The sequence below is a fragment of the Homo sapiens genome, chromosome 18 (genome assembly GCF_000001405.40).
Source record: "Homo sapiens chromosome 18, GRCh38.p14 Primary Assembly".
Taxonomy (NCBI): domain Eukaryota; kingdom Metazoa; phylum Chordata; class Mammalia; order Primates; family Hominidae; genus Homo; species Homo sapiens.
Window position 1 is genome coordinate 43,881,086 of NC_000018.10, and position 21,446 is coordinate 43,902,531.

General features: G+C 35.7%; 2 long non-coding RNA genes across 2 annotated transcripts in view, besides 1 other annotated feature; one reads left to right on the forward strand and one right to left on the reverse strand.

The window, feature by feature from the left end:
- The window catches only part of LOC105372088 (uncharacterized), a 122,698-nt gene that overhangs the window by 70,399 nt on the left and 30,853 nt on the right, over positions 1-21,446 (reverse strand). The window lies entirely within an intron of this gene.
- LOC105372087 (uncharacterized) lies at positions 3,117-8,115 on the forward strand. The gene is made up of 3 exons (XR_935414.3): positions 3,117-3,247; positions 6,558-6,614; positions 7,526-8,115. It is a non-coding gene; the product is annotated as an uncharacterized LOC105372087 (long non-coding RNA).
- Positions 6,479-6,773: a silencer, noted in NCBI's record as "tiled region #9153; HepG2 Repressive non-DNase unmatched - State 24:Quies". NCBI's record gives its function as "represses a minimal TATA promoter and a strong SV40 promoter by Sharpr-MPRA in HepG2 cells {active_cell/tissue: HepG2}" and the evidence as "EXISTENCE:reporter gene assay evidence [ECO:0000049][PMID:27701403]".

Genomic DNA, 21,446 nt, shown 5'->3' on the forward strand with positions numbered 1-21,446 from the left:
CCTGAGTTTGGTGCCTTCTTTGGTAGGCATCCTTGATCTTCCACTTTAAAGTTGGGTTTGATGTATTCTATAATGGGCTACATGTATGCCACCTTAGAACTGGGGTTTAATTGCTTGATTACTAGTATATTTCTGTAAATCATCTGCATGGTCCATGAGAACAAGGTCAGCTTTTAATCACTGTGTCATCTCAAATATTAAAACCTTGAATTTGGCACTGCGGAAGTTACTAAATGGAGTCCCCAAACTCCAGAAAAACTTGCCAGATCCTGGGGCTGGGTTAAATGCCTCTGCTCTGTGTTCCCATATTTCTCAGTTATTTCTCTTTTATTAAACACATTTTAGTACTATTGTTTATGCAGGTGTCTTTTCCATTAGACTTCAAATTTCTTAAGGACAGAAACTGTGAATCATTCATCTTTGTGTTTCTAATTTCAAATACAGTGCAACAATTTAGCTACTCAGAAATTGTACCTATTATGGTTGTTATTATCCTGTTTATAATAAATGTTTTTGAAAGATGGATGAATAAATAAATGCAAAACAGGACATGATAATGGGGGACAGTTACCGAAATATATGCTATGCCTTCCTCACAGATTTGTTTTCCAAGTACCAAGATAAAATGAAATTATTCAGAAAAATCACCAAAACAAGCAAGATAAATAAGGTGTTATTTTGAAAAACACTAGGAAAAGTAGAAATAAGATAGTAAAATTTAACATTCTGTGGACTTCACTATTTAGTTCACTCCTGTTCATGAAGTTATGGAAGGTTAATCACTATTGTTTTTGGAAAGACAGTTAGTTCACTGATTATCTATTTCTTTCAATGACCAGAAATTCAAGGTATTGCTGTCAAGGTAATGGTGTCTAGAGCTATCACGGAAACTAGATGCCTGATGTCTGGAAGGAATGATGCATATCACTGTGTGATTAAAGCCTGGTTTTTGCAATGAAATAAAAAACACTTATGTTGAAAGTACTACATCACCCCAGTGTTCAACTTTCTCCAATGGCCCCATGGAAAATAATTGATGAGATTCCAGGAGGAATGTTTTCTACTCCTTCTCTGAAGGGGTAACCATGACCAACTGACCTGAAGTCTAAGATTCCTTTTTAAGGAGGGAAAAAGCCATGTGCCATATATTAAATAGACAGCTCAAAGTACAAAAATGTGGAAAAGTAACTCACAGGCTAAGAATTATAGTGAGGAAAATATGGCTACTTTCAAAATGACTCTCAAAGCAAATTTTGATAAAAGAGAGAGAGAGACCTTAACTCTTGCCCAAGGCTCTTCCAGAACTTAGAGATTCACTTTTTGGTACTTGAACTTCCTTGCAGGACAAGAGTATACCCAATAGGACCACCTTGCCATCAGCCTTCCTCTTCTCACTGCTAACTCCTCCCACCTCCCTGTCCTCTGCGGGGCCCACTGGCAGCACTTCACTCTCTTCCAGTCACAGCTGAGGCCAGGGCTGTGGTATGTGCAAACTGTTATGTGTTTTTTTCAGGCAGGGTGAGTGGTGAGGTGACAGCAGGACAGCATGTGGAAGAATGAAGAAAAACCAAGTTACCAAATCCAAGTATAACAACATTCATATTCTACTTTTTAACACAGCTCTTTTGGCCACCTCAAATTTCAAGGCAGAAAAAAAGAGAAAGCACGTTACTGTTTTTCCTTTCCTCATTACCTCAGGGCATTAACCTACTTTGAACTCAGTCTATCGGTTGCGCTGATTCCACACCCAAGAGGCATTATTATCACCGAGTTCAAAAGTGTTCAACATATGGACATCATCAAACCCAAACTGACTTTATGTTCCTCATTTCTAGTAAACGATTAGAGAAATCTAATCAAGACACATGCCTATGTCAGGGGCTAGGCAATGCACCGTTAAATGTGTCATTGAGTTGTGTGCAGAGCTTGCAAGATGCCACAAACTCATTTTAATTTTACACAGACAAATTGAAAGACCCAATGTCTTCATTAGGGTGCAGCTTGCATTGAAACACAACAACAACAACAACAGGAAGTCAGCATGGAAAACAGAAGCTGCATGTTCAAATCACATCCATATTGGCATTTCACAACTGTAGCCTGATTGCATTGTTAATTAATTCTTGAAATGCACAGTAAGCCAAAGGGACAATTTGAGAAGAGTACTTGTCATTTAATTAGTAAATTAAGGTTTTTTTTTATATAAAATCTCAAATGCTTCTCTATTTAATTAGTATGTACTGTAGACCAAAATCTCACACCAGCTGGATATTTTCAGGATAAATGGCTTTGCTTATTTCTTTCATGTATCAAGTCAGTAACTTTTCAGAAAGAGGTTGAGCTTGGATGGTGGGAAGGAGAGGAATAAGACTACCAGAACAGGGTGCTTGTTGTATATAATCATATATTTCATGGAGGAAAAGGGAGAAAATTCCTATTTCAAGGTGTTACTCTGACATCTACACTGTGGAACATTACAGCTTGCAGAGTTTTAGGGCTCATCTTGCCCAATATCTTTTTTCTTGGAATAAAATGTTGAGGCTGAGAGACGTAAAGCAACACATCGGAAGTCACACACCTAGTTAAGTAGGGTGATGTAAACTACTATCTACGTCTTCTATCTAGATTTTTTAGATGTCTGTATTCTAATGAAAAGGTGTGCAAAGCATAATTATAAGCGTGCATTGAAGGCATGTGAAGTGCATGTGAGAAAGACTTTGTGATCTGTACTCTGATTTTAAAATTTTGGAATACGGAGATTTCACTGGAGTGTGTTTGTCTTTAATGTATTACCAATTAATAATTAATATCTCTAAATGAAGAATGAGCTTGTTTTATTTCACATTCTGGGAGCAGTTTTGTCATGTTTGAGCAAGTTTCCATGAATGTTTCTTAATATAATACCAGGATATGTCAGCTCTGTCTTATATTTGCAATGACTCTTATTTTCTTCTTAATTAAACACAGAAGCTGCTGATCTGAGGACAAAAATAGAATCTGATGAAGTCTGAATTTTTTCCCAGAAAATATTCTGTCTTTGCCTCCAGATGTCAAAAGTTACACATGAGTACAGCTCACACAGGGAAAGGGGAAAACAGCAACCTCTTGAGCTGGAGCCTTAGGCTAGAAAAGATCACTGATTACCCACCTGTTCCCCCTGGATACTAGGGCTTCAATCCAGAAGGTGCTGTGATGAAGTGGCTTCAGCAAAATATTACCTGAGACATCCTGATCCATTATGAGAACGGTAAGAAGCAATAAAGAAATTGAATATAAAGGAATCAATAAACAAATAACAATGAGTACAAACTACTCAAAAAGCTAAGTGAAATATATTTTCTTCTAAGACACTATAATGAACAATTAATTTGTAAGTAATTCATATATGCATAAAACATTCAGTAAAATAATTTTTAAAAGTATATGTGTTAAATGGCTAATGAGAGGTATATAATACTATAAGGGCTCAAAAATGGAGAACATTGACAGGTTACGTAAATAGAAGACCTCATGGAGACAAGCAAAACAAGCCTCACAAACTGGTTCACTCTGACCACCAGTAGAAATGTAGGTCTTGTTTCTCCTGCTCATGCTGCCTGGTATCTGAATATTGACCTATTGATTTCTTATCACCTGTACAAGCTTATCATCTGTGTCCTCACTACTTGCTGTGGCCTCCAATTTCTTCTTTTGGATTCACTTGAAGATGACTATGTAGCTGGCTAGAGTCATCTGTGTCCTAGGTTGTATCTTTCCTAACTGCATGTCCTGGTCTTGATCCTATGGCTCTACCTGGTTTCTAAGTCATCTCCAGTCTGAAGATGCCAAGCCAATAATACCCACGTAGACACTAGTACTGACTATGATTGGGTTGCAAAGAATGTTGCTTTTGTTCCTACAGAAGCTATAGCTAGGCTCACAATGAATTGTCTAATATATTTTCTTTTTTAACTTCAGTATCAGTTGCCTCAATTTTTCAGGCAAGATAATTAAGTTAAATAATATCTAAGAATCTGTTTCATCTCTAAGTTGCTATGGTCATGGTGAGATCATTGATCATTCATATGTAAATAGATTTTTCCTAATTATTGTGTAGTATTTGAAAACAGATTGCGCTCATGATTATTTTAAACATGCCCCCTGTGAGCTTCTTTATCCAACTAATTAGTCTTATTTTTTAATAAAACAATTTTAACCAAAGTAAACTTTTTATTAAAATGTCAGAGATTCCAAAGCGATTCAATCCAAATCAATGAGGTTACTAAATGGAAAGTTTTGCAAAACTGAATTCTGCTTTCAAAGTTTCTTGCCTTTTATTGTTAACTTAGGGAATCTAGGGTCACTTTATTCTCTGTTGTTGTTTTAAGCAAAATATAGACTAAATTTTGAATCAAAGACAAGGCTTGATTTTTTATAACTATGACTAGTTCATCACAGATAAGCTCTTTATAATCTTCAAGCTTCATTGTTTTTATCTATAAAATGAGAGTAATGATACTTGCTTTACGTATCTTTCAGGATTATTGGGAATGTGAAATGCAGCAATGTAAATAGGGCTATGTGTGGACAGGAAGGTCCTGCTTAAATGTCACGCTCTCAGCTCTTTTTGGATTGTTCTTCTATGGGCCATGATATGCTGTTTTTCCTTTTTTGTTTGTTTGTTTGTTTGTTTGTTTTTTAAAGGATTCTCTCTACTCTCTGTCGCCCAGGCTGGAGTGCAATGGTGCTATCTCGGCTCACCACAACCTTCGCCTCCCGGGTTCAAGAGATTTTTCTGCCTCAGCTTCCTGAAAACCTAGGACTACAGGCGTGTGCCACCACACTCAGCTAATTTTTATTTTTTCTCCGTGTTAGCCAGGCTGGTCTCAAACTCCTGACCTCGTGATCCGCCTGCCTCGGCCTCCCGAAGTGCTAGGATTACAGGTGTGAGCCACCACGCTCGGCCTGTTTTTCCTTCTTATACAACACCTACCACATTATATTATGATTAATAATGCATGCTTTTCTTTTTTAGTTTTTGAGTTTCTGCCAGGTTGCGGGGGAGATGAAGTGTTTATTCCTGTAGTCATATAACAGCTGATGCAGTACTTGGCACATGCTAGGTACTCAATAAATGCTTGTTGAAGATGTTCCATAACAAGTGGGATTTAAGTTGGATATTGAAATTCAAGTGGAGAAAAACCAATGATAGTAGGCATTCATATTAGTCAGGAGAGGCTAATATATGTTTCAGGAACAAGAAACCCCAATATTTTGGTTTGTTTACCATCAATTAAAAATAAAAATAAAGCTTTTTCTCCCTTTTGACAAAGTTCGATGCAGGTCTAGCTGACTCTCCAGGGCAGCTGTTCTATACATGTTGGCTCAGTTTGAATGTCTGGTTAGAGCTCATGCCACCCACTTACAGACATGTGCTTCCATTGTTGGTGGCAGGGAGAAGTGTGCTGGAGAGTTGCTCAACTGCAATTCTGTAAAAGTGCCAGTAATTACTTTGACTCAGATTTAGTCTCTTATATTTTTTACCTAAAGCAAGTCAAATGGCTGAGTCTAATTGAAAGGTGGTGAGGACATACAATGTCTCATTTGCCTAAAAGGAGCAGAGAATCATGTATTGGTAAACAGCACAATGCTGGTCACAGTGTGGGTGTATATTTCTACTGTCTAACAACAAATCCGTTGGCTTTACTTTATAATTATATCTCCTCATATGTAAATCAGACCACACCATTTCTCTACTAATGTTCTCAAACATTTTCCAAATGCACTAAAATATTTAATATTATCTCAACTTGACGGTTAACAAAGTTCAGTCTTCTCTGTCTCCAGCCCCCTTTTTTTAACTTCGATTCTTGCCTTGTAAACTTCACTTGCTTTCTTCAAGTTCCTTGAACATTCCAAGCTTATTTCTACACAAAGCTTTTGCACTTTCAGTTCTACAAGAAACATTCTAATCTCAATCTACACACAGTTGATCCTTCATATGTCTCAGGTTCCCATTCATGAAACACCTGATTAGCCAAACCATTCATAAAAGTGAAAAGTATCACCCACACACACCAGCCTCATTCCATCCCATCAGTTGAACTCATTCCCTTCACAGCATTTTTGCTAATATTTAATAGTATCCTATGCATTTACATGTTTGCTTATCTTTCTCATTCTTTCTCCTCTTTCTCCTCAGCATTTTAAGATATGAGCTCCACAAAGAAGCAGCTATACCTGTTTTGTTCTGCTTTTGTCCTAGCACCTAGAACAGTACCTGGCATCTAATAATATTTAACCAGTATTTTCTTTTAAATGGAACAATTGTTTGCAATAACAAGAAGATATACTAGATAATTTCAAAACTACAAAATATCAGGGTGCTTCACGGGGGTACAAACTCTTTCTGTCAAGGGCCAGATAGTAAATAATTTTCAGCTTTGGGGGCCAGATGGTTTCTGCTGCAACCACTCAACTCTGCACCAATTCTGTCATTGTAACACAAAAGCACCCATAAACAATATGTCAACATAAGGATGTAAATGTGTTAAAACAAATTTTATTTACAATAACAGGCAGCAGCAGGATTTGGCCTGGGGATGGAACAAAGGGACCCCCTGCTGTAGAGCAAGGTGAGTGAGTCACTTACGCCCTTGACAACACATTCTTAGAAGTCATGCTAGTTGGAGGCAAGTTCTGTTTCTTCCACCAACGTCTTCAAGCCTCAGAATCCTTTTCTATCAAATGGGGCTAATAATAGAATACACCATACCTCAGAATTAAGTGAGGCTGTGCAAAAGGTGCTTAATTCTGTGCCTGAAATATAGCAACAGACAATAAATCCATCTAACAATAAATTCTTATGAAGAAGTTATTACAATAAATTCAGTGACAAGCAATGATGGCAATGGAAATAAAAATGGAGAAGCAGATGTAATTGAGAGATTTGAGAAGTAAAATTAGCAGTTCCTGGTGACTAAAGCATGTGTTAATGATAGTGATACCCTTGAACCATTAGTTGTTCAGCTTTGAATACCCTACCCAATTTCTCTGCTTATTCTTTTTCTGTGTTTCTTCCCCCTTTCTTCTCTACTTTTCATTCTTTAAGAACAAGCTCCAATTCACACTTTTGAGCTGCCTTTCAAGTTCCTCAGAAAAATTTATCATTTCATTAAACATTATTTAAAGCTTGGGCTCTTTTTGTTTCTACTCTTTAGTATAGTTAGTTGCTTACACTTTTGTCTTTCTCAGTTCATTGTAACATCTCTGAGAGCAGGCATTGTTTTGTTGCTTATCTGTGTCTTTCGTTTGTCTTTTTTTGTCACTATATTCTACATCACACTTGGCATGTGACTTATGCATATTTCATACATTATTATGGAATGATCAAATGAAGCAGAGATTGAATGATTTTTTCAAACACAGAAGTTCAACTTCCACTTGCTAGAGTCCCCCATCAATAAAATATGCACAGAACAACACTGGGTCATACACAATGGTTCCATAATTTGACCTGTGTTTTATCCCCAACATCTGCTTGCAGGGATGCAGCATCCTCGTGGCTGTTCACATACCATTGCACTGGGATATGTCTCTCTTCACTCTCCATTTCCCACCCCACAAAAACCCCATCGCCTGCCTTATGTGAGAATTGGAACCATAAAAATAAAACAAAGATGTCTTCTTATGTATGATAATTAATGGGAACAAAATGTCTTGGATGAAATATTACTGGCAAAACAAAGCATAACCAGATGTTGTGCAATGCAAGACCCAACATAAAGTAATGAAGAACTCCACTGAGTCAGACGTGTCTACTTGAAAAATGTTTACTTTGACAATCAAATGAAAAAGTAAAAAATATATAGATGCAAAGACTGCTTTTCAGGAAAACAGTGGGTTCTTTCCCCAGAGCTCTAAAAAGTTTAGATATTGTAGCCAAAACGTCGTAAAATATGATTTTGTTTTCTGCTTTTTTTCCCCAGGGAGAAGGGAATTTTAAAGAAGAGATTGCATCAATAAAGATTCTTTTAGCATTATTTTTATCATTATAAAAATTACACATACTTGTTTTAGATTATTTGAAAACTTCAGAGCTGTAAAGATGAAAATAAAAATTGCTTATTATCTTAATCGGCAAAATTAACCATCCTTAACATTTTTATATGTCTTTTAGTTATTTTGTATGCCTATGTTTATAATGAAACAGTTTTGAATTTTTTAACGTATTAAAATCATGGGATTTTTGTCTTTAATTCACGCTTCCTTTTAGCCATCCACCTCCAAAGCTGAACCATGAGTTTTACTGTACTAGGGAAAAACAAGTTTGAGTCTGCTATGAAAAAAGTAATTAGCAGTTTCAATGCTGGTTTCTGGGGTTCATAAACAAATTGTCTTAAAAACCTGACATTTGGTTTGGACTTGCCATGGATTCTAGAAAGTATAGTTCATAGGAAAGAAAGAGATTTTTCAAATTTCTCTGGGTACTAATTTTTTGTGATCTAGTCCTGGTAAAGTAGATCAAATGCTTCCCATATATTCCAGGAGAACTCAGGATATGAATTGGAGTCACGGTCAGATCATCTCTTCTGGGTCTACTGTCTATGAGAAGAAGGGAGAAGGAGATAGAACTAGAAAGCCAAAAACAAACATTCTAGTCATTCTCCACCCCTGCCTCAGGGCCAACAATAAGGTATTGGGAAAAGAGGGATTTGAAACATCTAAAGAGGTATGAAGGAACCACAGAATATTAGCGTAAGTAGCACACTTATCATGAGTTACATGGGAAAGCTAAACAAGAGCAAAGATTTTTGTCTCAAAGCACATCTAACATAGCATGGAATATGAAGTGGTGGCAGTGGGCATTTAGGTAATGAAGCTGAATCAGATCCCATCATCTTTGACTTTGCCTTATACAATATTTATGGAATCGAGAAGTTTGATCCGTTCTTTTGAAAAGGTATAGAGGAGCTGGAGAGAGAGGGGGATAGATGAGCATCCATCCAAAGTAAGAACAAGGTGATTGCCATGGCTGGTGAACTTATAACTGAAGCAATGGCTGGGACCACAGGCATTAATGACATGACCAGCAGGTTCCCCTGAAAAGCAAAAAACAGCAGTTGGACCTCATGGGGTTCCTTCTAGGAGACCAGTTATTCCACAGGACGGACCAGTGAAGGTCAGAAGGTCATGTCTACAAAGACATGAAACCTCTCATCCTCCTACTTCTCCTTATTTACCCAGAACTATCTTGGATAAGAGCACATATGGGAGTGAAAGAGCTTTCATGTCCAACAGACAACTGAGATACTGACTTCCTCCAAGTTTGAAGTAATTTATCTTTATTAATTTCCAGTGCAGTAATAGGCCTTAGGTAAGATACAGGGCTAATATGCAGAATCTACAAAGAACTTAAACAAATTTACAGGAAAAAAAAATCAAACAACCCCATCAAAAAGTGGGCGAAGGATATGAACAGACACTTCTCAAAAGAAGACATTTATGCAGCCAACAGACACATGAACAAATGCCCATCATCACTGGCCATCAGAGAAATGCAAATCAAAACCACAATGAGATACCATCTCACACCAATTAGAATGGCGATCATTAAAAAGTCAGGAAACAACAGGTATTGGACAGGATGTGGAGAAGCAGGAACACTTTTACACTGTTGGTGGGACTGTAAACTAGTTCAACCATTGTGGAAGACAGTGCAGCAATTCCTCAAGGATCTAGAACTAGAAATACCATTTGACCCAGCCATCCCATTACTGGGTATATACCCAAAGGATTATAAATCATGCTGCTGTAAAGACACATGCACACGTATGTTTATTGTGGCACTATTCACAATAGCAAAGACTTGGAACCAACCCAAATGTCCATCAATGATAGACTGGATTAAGAAAACGTGGCACATATACACCATGGAATACTATGCAGCCACAAAAATGATGGGTTCATGTCTTTTGTAGGGACATGAATGAAGCTGGAAACCGTCATTCTGAGCAAACTATCACAAGGACAGAAAACCAAACACCACGTGTTCTCACTCATAGGTGGGAATTAAACAATGAGAACACTTGGACACAGGATGGGGAACATCACACACCAGGGCCTGTCGTGGGGTGGGGGGAGTGGGGAGGGATAGCATTAGGAGATATACCTAATGTAAATGACGAGTTAATGGGTACAGCACACCAACATGGCAGATGTATACATATGTTACAAACCTGCACATTGTGCACATGTACCCTAGAACTTAAAGTATAATAATAAAAAAAAAAAACATTAAGTAAGGAGGGAATGGAAAGAGGCTGATTAACGGGTTCAAAGTTATAATTATTTAGGAGGAATAGGTGCTGATGTCCTTATTGCACAGTAGGGTGATTATAGTTAACAATAATGTATTAAATGTTTCAAAACAGCTAGAAGAAAGGATTTTGAGTGTTTTCACTAAAAAAAGGTAAATGTTGAGGTGATGGATATGCTAATTATACTGATTTGATCATTACATGCATATATTGAAACATCACATTGTACCCATAAATATGTAGAATTTTTATGTGTCAGTTAAAATTTTTAATTAAATCTTTTTCAGAGAAAAAAGTAATAGAAAAAAAACCACCTGTGTTTTCATATGGCAGTGTGAATAAATTAATTATGCTATATGCATATGAAATGTATATATGCATATAGCAGAATTATGTAACTGTGCAATTTATGAAATCAAAGACATTGGATACTGATTTTTTCTGTATCACTATATCATCAGCATATTCTGTCTTGTAGTTACATATGGGCATCAAAATAGCATTTTAATAGCTTTATTATACTCAATAACATAATTATATTTTGATTTGCTAATTAACTGTCCTATACCCTAGGTTATATTTATGTTTTGTCATAATAACGTTGTTACAAACATCCTAGTGTATAAATATTTTTCTAGTTTTTGATCTTTTTATTAGGAATAGCGTCCTATGAAGAAGGTAAGGATGACTCCTTGATAAGAGTATAAACAACTTAAATGGCTACTGAAATATGTCACCAAATTGTTTCCTAGAAAATGTTAAGGATGAGCATGGTGGCCCACGCCTGTAATCCCAACATTTTGGGAGGCCTAGGTGAGAGAACTGCTTGAGTCCACAAGTTCAAGGCTAGACAGTGATTGACATTTTACACCCCAATGATAAAATATTACCAATATAATCTCCCAAATTAAAAATTATAAATGTCTTATTTTTCTACAGCTGGCACATAATAAGCTCTCTTGAATATTGGTTAAATCATTTTAAGAAGCAAGCAATCTCATCACTACTTTAGTTTGCATGACTTTATTATCAGCAAATTTACATATTTTTATTCTTTATTGGCAATTATCTTTTTTCTTTTTCTTATGAACTCTGAAATTGTATTATTCTCTCTCATGTATTCAGCTGAGTCTCTTCCTTCTCAAGCTCATTTCCATTTATGAATCAGGTAAAACTTCTTGTCATCTCTTTTCTACAAGTTCAAAATCCTCTTGGACTGATTATGAATTTTCACATTATATTATTTTTCCTACATTATATTTTGGTTTCACTAGACAATTGGGCAATGTGCTGACTTTGGATTCAGAAAATCTTCGCTGAATCTTGGTTCTGGTGCTTTCCGGCTGTGTGACTGGGCAAAACACACATTGTCTTCATGGCTTGGTTGACCCACCTATAACATAGATAGTGGCAATGGTCCAAATTTGTGTGTTATACATTCAGAAAATATCTATTGAGTGTATACTGCAGGTGAGGCTGTATTCCCAGTAACAGAGATAAATGGTCATTCACCTAACACAGAGCATGTATATAAAAAGCTTTGCATGTTGTAGGTACACAGATGATGCTTAGTAATTGCCAGATGTACAGGACAAAATAGAGTTATTCATAGAATCTTTTAGAAACCATATGTTTTACACATCACACACACTTATACACCATCGTAGCACTTCTGACCACATTAACAAGATGTGTCATCTTCTTGTTTTTATAGTGACACAGATATGCTCTGCCGAAGCTCCAAACACTCTCTTACTGTAAGACTCCCCAATGTGTGAGTCATTTGGCTTCTGAGTCCACTTTCAGGGAAGGAGAATAATTAACGGATCCAGAGAAAGATCCAACCTCTGACCTTGACTTTATTAACTTTGTGTGCTGACTAATCATGCTGATTAAGAACAGAAATTCAACCCATTCAGCTGATGTGTCCCTGGAATGTCTCTTTCCAGGCACCCTGATATCTATTTCCTAGAATCTCCCAGCCCCTGAGGAGAATAATTTGGAAATCCCAGTCAAGCTTAATGCATTTCTATTTAGGGATCTAATGCCTGGAAAAAAAATGATATCTTTATCATTTATTTAATACATAAGTGGTTCTTTTTCTTGTCTGGTCCGTCAAAGCTTGGCAAAGTAAAGGTCATCCATTAATCACTTTGCCCTTCAGTGAAGTGCAGCCATCCAGTCTGTGAGGGTTGCAGTTTGATCAGCCAGGCATGCGGCCTGACTCAGTAAAAACTTGGAACTGAAGTCCTGTTAAGGGCATTGTAATTGATCTTTGTTGCAGCTACAGATGTTGGCACAGAAGCAAAAAGAGACCACTTTTTCCTTAGATGCAGGGATCTAATTAAAGTAGGAATAGCCTTGAAGGGGGACATATAGGTTGATGATGGAAGTGACAAATCCCAGGATGAGACCCCTTTGGGGCTTCTCATTTAGTGCTGACATACCTGAGGTTCTAACAAATGGATCCTGTCTTACCTCAGTCTTAGTATATCTAAAAAAGAACTTCCTCAAACCTAAATTTTCTTGCTTCTACTTCCCATCAACTACAGTATTCTCCAGGCTACATACTGTGAAGGCTGGGTGGTCTCTGATGTACATTTCTCTTTGATATTCAGTAGTCAGCACATACCCAATCACAACACCGCTGCTTTCTTTGCACCCTCCTGTTGGTGTCTCCAGCACAAGTACTTACTCAATTTTTGTTAAGATTACTTCTAACAGCCTTGCTAACTGGTCCTTCAGGCCACAATCATTCCACATATGCTTCCTTTTATAAATAAATATCCTCAAATATCCTTGCCCTTCTACCATACTTTCACTTGAGAAATAAGACAGTATTTCTAACATTTATAGCATTATTGTTATTTGGCTCCCAAGGGCAAACGAAGTGTGGCACCAACTCTCCTATGTCTTATCTCCAACTATTCCTCAATATTTTCCTTTTCCTACAATCAGCTGTGTCCCCCCTCTCCCAGCCCCTCGCCAATTAGTATTTGAATATGCTCTTCCCACCGGCAGTTCAAATTCCTGTTTCCACATTAATTCAAAAGACACATATTTAATTGACTCTTTCAGGCCATGTTAGGCATGTGAGATATATCATTTATCCCTCACCTTGTTGTGGGAGGGTCACAGGTGTTATATTTTGAGCGCTAATGATGTGATAAATGCATGTACACAGCCCAAATCCCAACCCACAAGGCTTCAGGGCTCATTTCCCCAGCTGCTGGGATTAGTGACAGCTGAGAGTTCTCAAGGCCTTGTCTTTCTCCAGGACAGCCCTGGTTGAGGAGAACAAGCTCATCCAAGGTCATGGGGGGAAGCCTACATCCAATGACTAGTTGACATGGGTATAAAATTTAGCCTCCTTTTCTCTCTTCATGACAACTCCGAGTGGCTACCTCAGCTTAAGAACATTATCCCAACTGCTCCTTTATTGTGACTTACAATTCATCTGTTTCCTCTGCCCAATCTAGCTTACTTCTTTCCCCATAGGTGTTGATTTTGGTGGCACTCCCTAATATAAACTCCATATGTGCAAATATGTCTCTGAATCTGTGTCTTGGGAACCCATTCTGCAGCATCTACTTTGACATAATTTCTACTTATTTTTGCAGTTTAAATAGATTGTAGTAGTCTTGAAATAAGAAAATCATAAAGGTAGTCAGGCTTTGGTAGTCAGGGGTGGGAGGATAATAATAAATACTGCATACACATATTTAATAAATTCATAATATCTGTCATTTGTGATACATAGGGTATAATAAGCCCATCTCAATTAACTTACATTTCACTGGATATTGACAATTACAACTACTGTGTCTCTTAATTCCCTACAGTTCATATACATAAAGGCATGGCATACAGAATTTCTAGGTGCCCAATACTATATTGAAACATTTTTTTCCTTATTTTAAATAAAATAAATGTTTCAAAGATTTTGAAATAAGTTCAAATTTACAAAAGTTACAAAAACAGTATAAGGATTTCCCACATAATATTTACTCAGATTCTCTTAATGTTAAAATTTTCCATGCCCTCTCTTGCTTTATTATTTCTTTTCTCTCTCTCTCTCTCTCTCTCTCTATACATACACATAAATAGATAATAGGCTGAGAGGCAGGAGAAAGAGAGAGAAAAGAGAGAGATGTTAGTTTTTTTCCTAAATAATTTTAGAAGATATTGTATATAATTTTTTTATCCCTAATCCATTCTGTGTACATTTTCAAAAAGCAATTATAATCTATAGCTAACCATGGCAAAATTATGAAAATCAAAAAATTAACATTGATAAAGTATGACCTAATCTATAAAATTTATGTACGTTTTTGTCAATTGTCCCATTAATGTCTTTTACATGGCAACTAAACTAATAAAAATATTTCTGGTCCAGAACCCATTCCAGAAACACATATTACATTTAATTGTCATGACTAAATATCCTTTAATTTGGAGCAGCTCTTTAGACTTCCTTTGTCTTTCTTGACCTTGGCATCTTTGAAGAGTATGATTTTGTATTTCTTCTTCCAGAGTTTCCCTGAATTTGGGCTTGTTCGATGTTTTCTCATGATGAGTTCAACTTATAATATTTGGCAGGAATCTCATAGCAGTAATGTTATGCCCTTCTCAGTTTATCAAATCAAAAAGACACAAGAAATCTATTTGCTTCATTACTAGTGATGTTAATTTTGATTTCTCGGTTAAGGTGGTGTCTGCCTGGTTTCTTTACTGAAAAGTAACTATTTTTCTCTTTTTGGACAAGCAGTTAATTTGGAGTCCCTTACCAGAAACGATTTCTTACTGTGGAGGCTGCCAAATGGTAATGTTCTAACTCAATTATTTCTTTTACATGAATTGTTTGATTATTGTGTTGTAGGAAAGAATTTTACCTTTTTCCCCATTAATTTTTTTATTCACTTATTTATATCAGCATAGGCTCATGAATTCTTATTTTATTCTTTGGGTTATATTTATTTTAATATTACTATTAATTTTGATGGTTGCATTACCTCATATTTCACAAGTGGAAGTCCCACCAAGCTCCAAGGGGGCTCCAGAGTCCCTCTGACATGCCCCATCTTTTAAAAATATTTGTTTACTTTTAGTATTTCTTTTTTTCCTGAGACTGCAAGATATTTTAAGTATTTCTCCTACTCCAGCTCTGAAATCAGCCATTTTTAAAAGGAGTTCTGGCTCCTTTTAGTGGATAATGGTATTTAGAAATCAAGATCTGGCTATCAGATGTTATTGGTATCCCATTGTTTCTTGTCTGTTTCAGCAGGCAGAGCTAGTATGTATTGACAGAACATATGTATTGTTTACATATACACAAGCCACACACATACATATCTATTTCTAATCTTATCTACTTATATATTAAAGCTATGAATTTATACTAATATCTGAATTATAACTCAGGACCATAGTGCTCATTCTAGTCTTCCCCTTTCCGTATTTTAACTTCCACATTAGTTGGCTTGGGATGCCATAACAAAATACCATGGACTGGTGGCTTAAACAACTGAAATTTGCTTTTCACAGTTCTGGAGGCTGAGAAGTCCAAGATCAAGGTGCTGGCTACTTTGGTTTCTGCTGAGTGTTCTCTCCCTGGCTTGAAATGGCAGCCTATGGCAGGAAAAGAGAAAGAAAGATTTTTCTCTCTTCCTCTATGGCCACCATTCTTATTGGATTAGGAACCCAGACTTATGACCTCAAAGAGGACTCACTTTCCCACTGGAGCCTGTTATCCACAGTAAATTTACTTATTTGCTCAATCATTGAATACAGATTAAGCAGTTTTAACATTGCCAACAGATACCACTATGACAGCAAAACTACTAACTAGAGTTCAATATTTGTTATTTGTTTTTGTCTTTGGACTATGTTTATAATCCAACTAATTTATTCAAGAATTTTTTGAATAAGCTTTTTTCTCTTCTTTGAGTTAGATTCTTTTGTTTTTATTTTGTTTCCTTCTCAGCACGGTTAAATTTATTTGATTTTGTTTGTATTCCCTTTTGCCCCATCCTTGTTGATTTCTTTTTCTAATTGAGAATATGAAATATGATGTCATTCTAAAAGTTGAAATTAAACTCAAAGAAATATCACTCCTCTTCTCACCCCTTCTCCTTGTTCCCATTGCTCCAGCCTTGTTACCCCATACTTTTTGCCCCCACATAACAATCCAATCTTATTTCTTTTTTATTTCTCCTTCTTCTTTTCCTTTTTTTCCTGTAGGATGGGAGATAACATAAGTGTTTTTTCTTATTTTCCCATTTTTCTTTTCCAAAAGGTAACATTTTATAGATATATTTTTGCACTTTGTTTTTTGTCCATTTAACCATGTGTCCTGGAAATCACATGATATGGTTCACAGATATAGTCTTCATTCTGGTTTTTGCACAATGGTACTTTACTGGGCAGACATTCCACTGTTTTTCAACAACTTATCTCTATCCTGGCATTTAGACTATTTCCATTATTTTCCAATTATATCAATGCTGAAATCCATTGTTTGAAATGTATGCTTTACAGTTACATCCCTGATCCATTGGAATCCATTCTTATGTTTGGTGTGAAGAACAGGGACCTAACTCTATCTTTTTTTTCAAATGTTTAAGCAGTTATTTTATCACCATTTATTTAAAAACAAGAACACAAAATTCTCTTTATTCCAGTTATTTGAAATTCCCTCTTCATCATAAAGTTCTCATTATATTTCTATTATATTTCACTGGTATGTTTATCAGTCAGTCCTGGTATCACAGCTTTAGTTATAGAAACTTTACAGTCTGTTTTAATTTCTGGAATGGCTATGACCCATTGCATTTTTTTTCCGTCATTTGTCTGGATATTCTGGTATGCTTCCATATAAACTTGAGTACCAAATTCTATGACTCCATAAGAAAGATTATTGGTATTTTTATTAAAGTTGCATTGCATTCGTAAGTTATTTCAGGGATAACTGAACATATATAATGTTGCGTTATTCTGTTTAGGAGCAAGAGCTGTCTTTCCATTAATTCAAGCATACTTTCGAAAATGTGTTATGGTTCGTATTACGTATGTGTTGTACATTTTTTCTTAAGTTTATTTGGAAGAATTTTATCCTGTTTTTGTCATTTAATGATGTTTTCTCTATGATTATATCCCCTAAGTGGTTTTTGATTATATGACAGCTGTTAATTTCTGCATGTTAAATTTTATGTTCTACTAATCTGCTGAATTATTTTATCATTTGAGCTATTTTTATTATTGATTAGGAACTCTAGCTATACTATTATGTTAAGTGCAAAAGAACATAATTTGACTTAAGTCTTTCTTTGTCATATTTAATGCTTTTTGGTTAGAATTTTCTTATGATGTAAGAGGATCCCCACTCTTCATATCTTATTATTTCCATCTTCTTATACCTTTCTTATTCCCTTTAGTTTTAATCATTCTATATCATTTAGTTTGGGTGTGCCCCTTGTATATATTGTATAATTATGTGTGTATAGTTAAGCAAAGTCCATTTATGATTATAATATGACTGATATGTTTAGTCTCAACTACATAATATTTTATGTTGCAATTTCAATTTGTATTATATGAAATTTGCTCTATTTATGTCATGTGTCTTCTTTCCTCTTTTTAAAAAATGTGTTTATATTTTGGAAGGTCTGTAGTTTTGTTCTTGCAGTCACGTTTTCTGTTATATTTAAATTATATTTTTATTATTTTAAATTTCCTTAGTCCACTATTTCCTTACTTAAGCTTTTATTGTCCAGTATCAGCTGTTCTTGGTGTCTTTAAGTTTTACCAAGGACTTTACACCAATCAGTAAGTTTATTCTTATTTTCTCTTTTCTACCTTTTGTCTTTCCTTTTCTATAACACATAATATAGAACATATTTTTCCACCCTTATTCCCACTATTGTTTTAGACTTTCATCTACAGTTTTATGCATATTCACTGTTAACCATTTTTCTAAATTTTCCCTGACTACCTTTTGGTTGAATGAAGTGCTTCCTCTAGTCCAGAAGCAGGTTTTTTTTTTTTTTTTTTCTACAAAGAGACAGATAGTAAATATTCTAGGCTTTGCAAGTCATATGTTGTAGCTATGGTGAAGCAAAAGCAGCCATAGGCAATACATAAACTCAGTAGAAGTGTGTTTCAATAAAACTTTGATTACAAAACCATACCGACATAGTTTACTAACTGTTGCTCTAGTAGTTGCTTGAGAATGAACCAAGGACACAAAATCATCTGAGCTCTTGCATGTTTGAAAGCTATTTTTCTATAGTCTTGAGAGTTAAATGCAGTTTGGCTAGATACAATGTTACGGTCTGATACTTGTTTTCCTGAAGTTTTTTGAAATTGCTGCTGAAGGGTGGCCATTCCCAGACGGTATTCTCTGATCACCTGAATACGTTTATCTCCCTCCCGGGTAGTATACTCTGGTCTACCAGGACATTGTGGTGACATTTCACATAGATGGTGGACTTCATGTTTCTGGCTGTGATTTCAGGCCACTCTTACTTAGTCTTGCCAATAGTTTTCCTCTTCTGTCCTGTCTGCAGTCTTTCTCAGATTGTGTTTGTACTCTGCAAAGGCTTGTGGCAGGAACACAAGCAAGAGCCTGCTGAATTTGATGAGTGTTTTGTTTTTATTTTTTAAGGTAATCTGAAGTTTGGCTCTTCACTAGTCTTCTAGTTATTCATTTCTCTAGAGAGTCCTTAGAGACCTTTGTAGCACATACACCATGTTTTATAATTACTAAAATATTGCATTGAATTACCTCATTTTATGGTATTGTAGTGTATGTCTTTATACTTATTCCTCATTTTTCAAGGATAAAAATCGTAAAAAAAAAAAAAAAAAGTTAAGAATACATTCTGAATTCTCTTTCCAGAGGCTTCCCCCTTGTCTTGGGATTATGGATGAGTGAGGAAAGTTTTCCAAGATTCAAAATAGGATGTGACTTTGTGGTTCTGTAACTAGTGGAAACAGTATCACTTCAATGTAGGAGATGTCTAAGGGGAATGGCAGAATAGAGCATGAGGGAGGCAGTCCTGAAGATGCCAGGACTCCATCTGAGTGTTCCTGCGCCCAAGTGCAGCACGGATGGCAATGGCATAAAAGAAGCAGATACACAGGACTTCAAAGGCTCACCTAGACTGACTATGAGTGATAGCAGTTATATAAAATCAAGATGAGTTGGCCCTCTTTAAATACAAATAGTTCTATGCTTTAAAAAGACCTCAACCCTTACCCAATTTAGAAATAGGGAGGTATAGAAAGTGCTAATAGTGAATGAAAATGAATTCCTTCAACCAGGAAGCAGAAAGCAATAAATAAGATTTAAGTTTTAAAAATATTAAACTTAAGAAATTTTATTAACAATAAATATCATGCAAGCAAAGTCAAATTTCGGGGTTTGGAACAACTGCTTTACAAATGGGAAGATGGTATATCCTGAGTGGCCAGGAATAGTACACTTGACCTTTGAACAGCATAGTTTGAACTTCAGAGGTACACTTACATGTACACTTATATGCAGATATTTTGCCTTTGCCAACCCAGAGACAGCAAAGCAACCCCTCCCCTTCCTCCTCTTCCTTAGCCTTCTCAATGTGAAGACAATAAGGATGAAGACCTGTATGATGATCCACTTCCATTTAATAAATAGTAAATATATTTCTCTTCCTTAAGCTTTTCTTATAACATTTTCTTTTTTTAGCTTAATTTATTGTAAGAATACAATAAATACATATAACATGAAATAGATGTTAAATGTTTATGTTATGGGTAAGGCTTCTGTTAAACAGTAGGATATTAGCAGTTAAGTTTTGAGAGAGTTAAAATTTATATGCAGATATTTCCACTGCATGGAGGTTGGTGCACCTAACCCCCATATTGTTCAAAGATAAACTGTACTGGTTTTTACTTGCTGTTCCAGAGTAATTTTTGGAAGCATTCTTTTTTATTTTCATATTTCCACTATTTGGAAGATCAGGTATACGGTCACCTTATTCATAATTGAATGTTGCCATAAGATTTCAGTGTCCAAGTCTCTGGTTTTTGCAAATATGCCTATATGATAGACCATTTGATAGTATGCTATACTCTACAAATGAAGCTTCCCCAATGCTTTAAAAGAAAACAACAAAGAGTTGGAACATTGAGTCATCTCAGTGTGTGCAGTGGTAGCAAAATGCTCCATACAATAGAACCTGTGCCATCATATTAAATACCCCGTTCACATTGGGAGAAACAATCTAGTTGCAGCACAAGATTATCTGTCACATTAAATTATGTGGCTAATTTGTATTCTATTAGTTTTTTTAGAGCTTCTTAGTACTTTATTTGTAAATTTATTTTGGTTTTATAGTTGCATAGAAGTTATATGCATAAAAAGTTTTATGCTTGTAGCTAATTAAGTAAAATTATAATAAAATGAGTCAACAGGAGTGTATGTCTCTGGCTGAACATGTCTTTTAAAAGGTTATATATTATTCATTTAAAAAATTGAATTGAAATCTATATAACACAAAATTAACCATTTCAAAATGTACAATTTAATGGTGTATAGGATAGTCACAACATTGTGCAACCATCACCACTATCCGGTTTCAAAACCTTTTCATCTCCCTGAAGGAAATGTCTTACCCATTGATCAGTTAGTCCTCATTCTTCTCTCCCCTTAGTTGCTGGCAACCATTAATCTGCTTTCTGTCTCTATGAATTTACTTATTCTGGATACATTATATAAATGAACTTATACAATACATGGTCTTTTGTGTCTGGCTTCTTTCAATTAGCATAATGTTTCTGAGGCTCATCCACATTGTAGCACATATCAGCACTCCCTTCCTTTTCATTGATGAATAATATTCTATTTTAAGGCTATACAGGCTGAACACTCCTTATCCAGAAATTCAAAATCCAAAATGCTCCAAAATCTGAAACTCTTTGAGTGCTGACAGGACAATGAAGATGACATTGTTAACGTTACAGACAAAGTGCCTATAGAAGACATGGTGAAAATGTGTGACAGGCTTATTGAAGGACTAGATAAGCATGCATTCATAACAGAAAAAGGAATTATGTCAGTTTATAAAATCAAAGACAGGCTTCTAAGACAAAAATGATTGTTAACAAGGC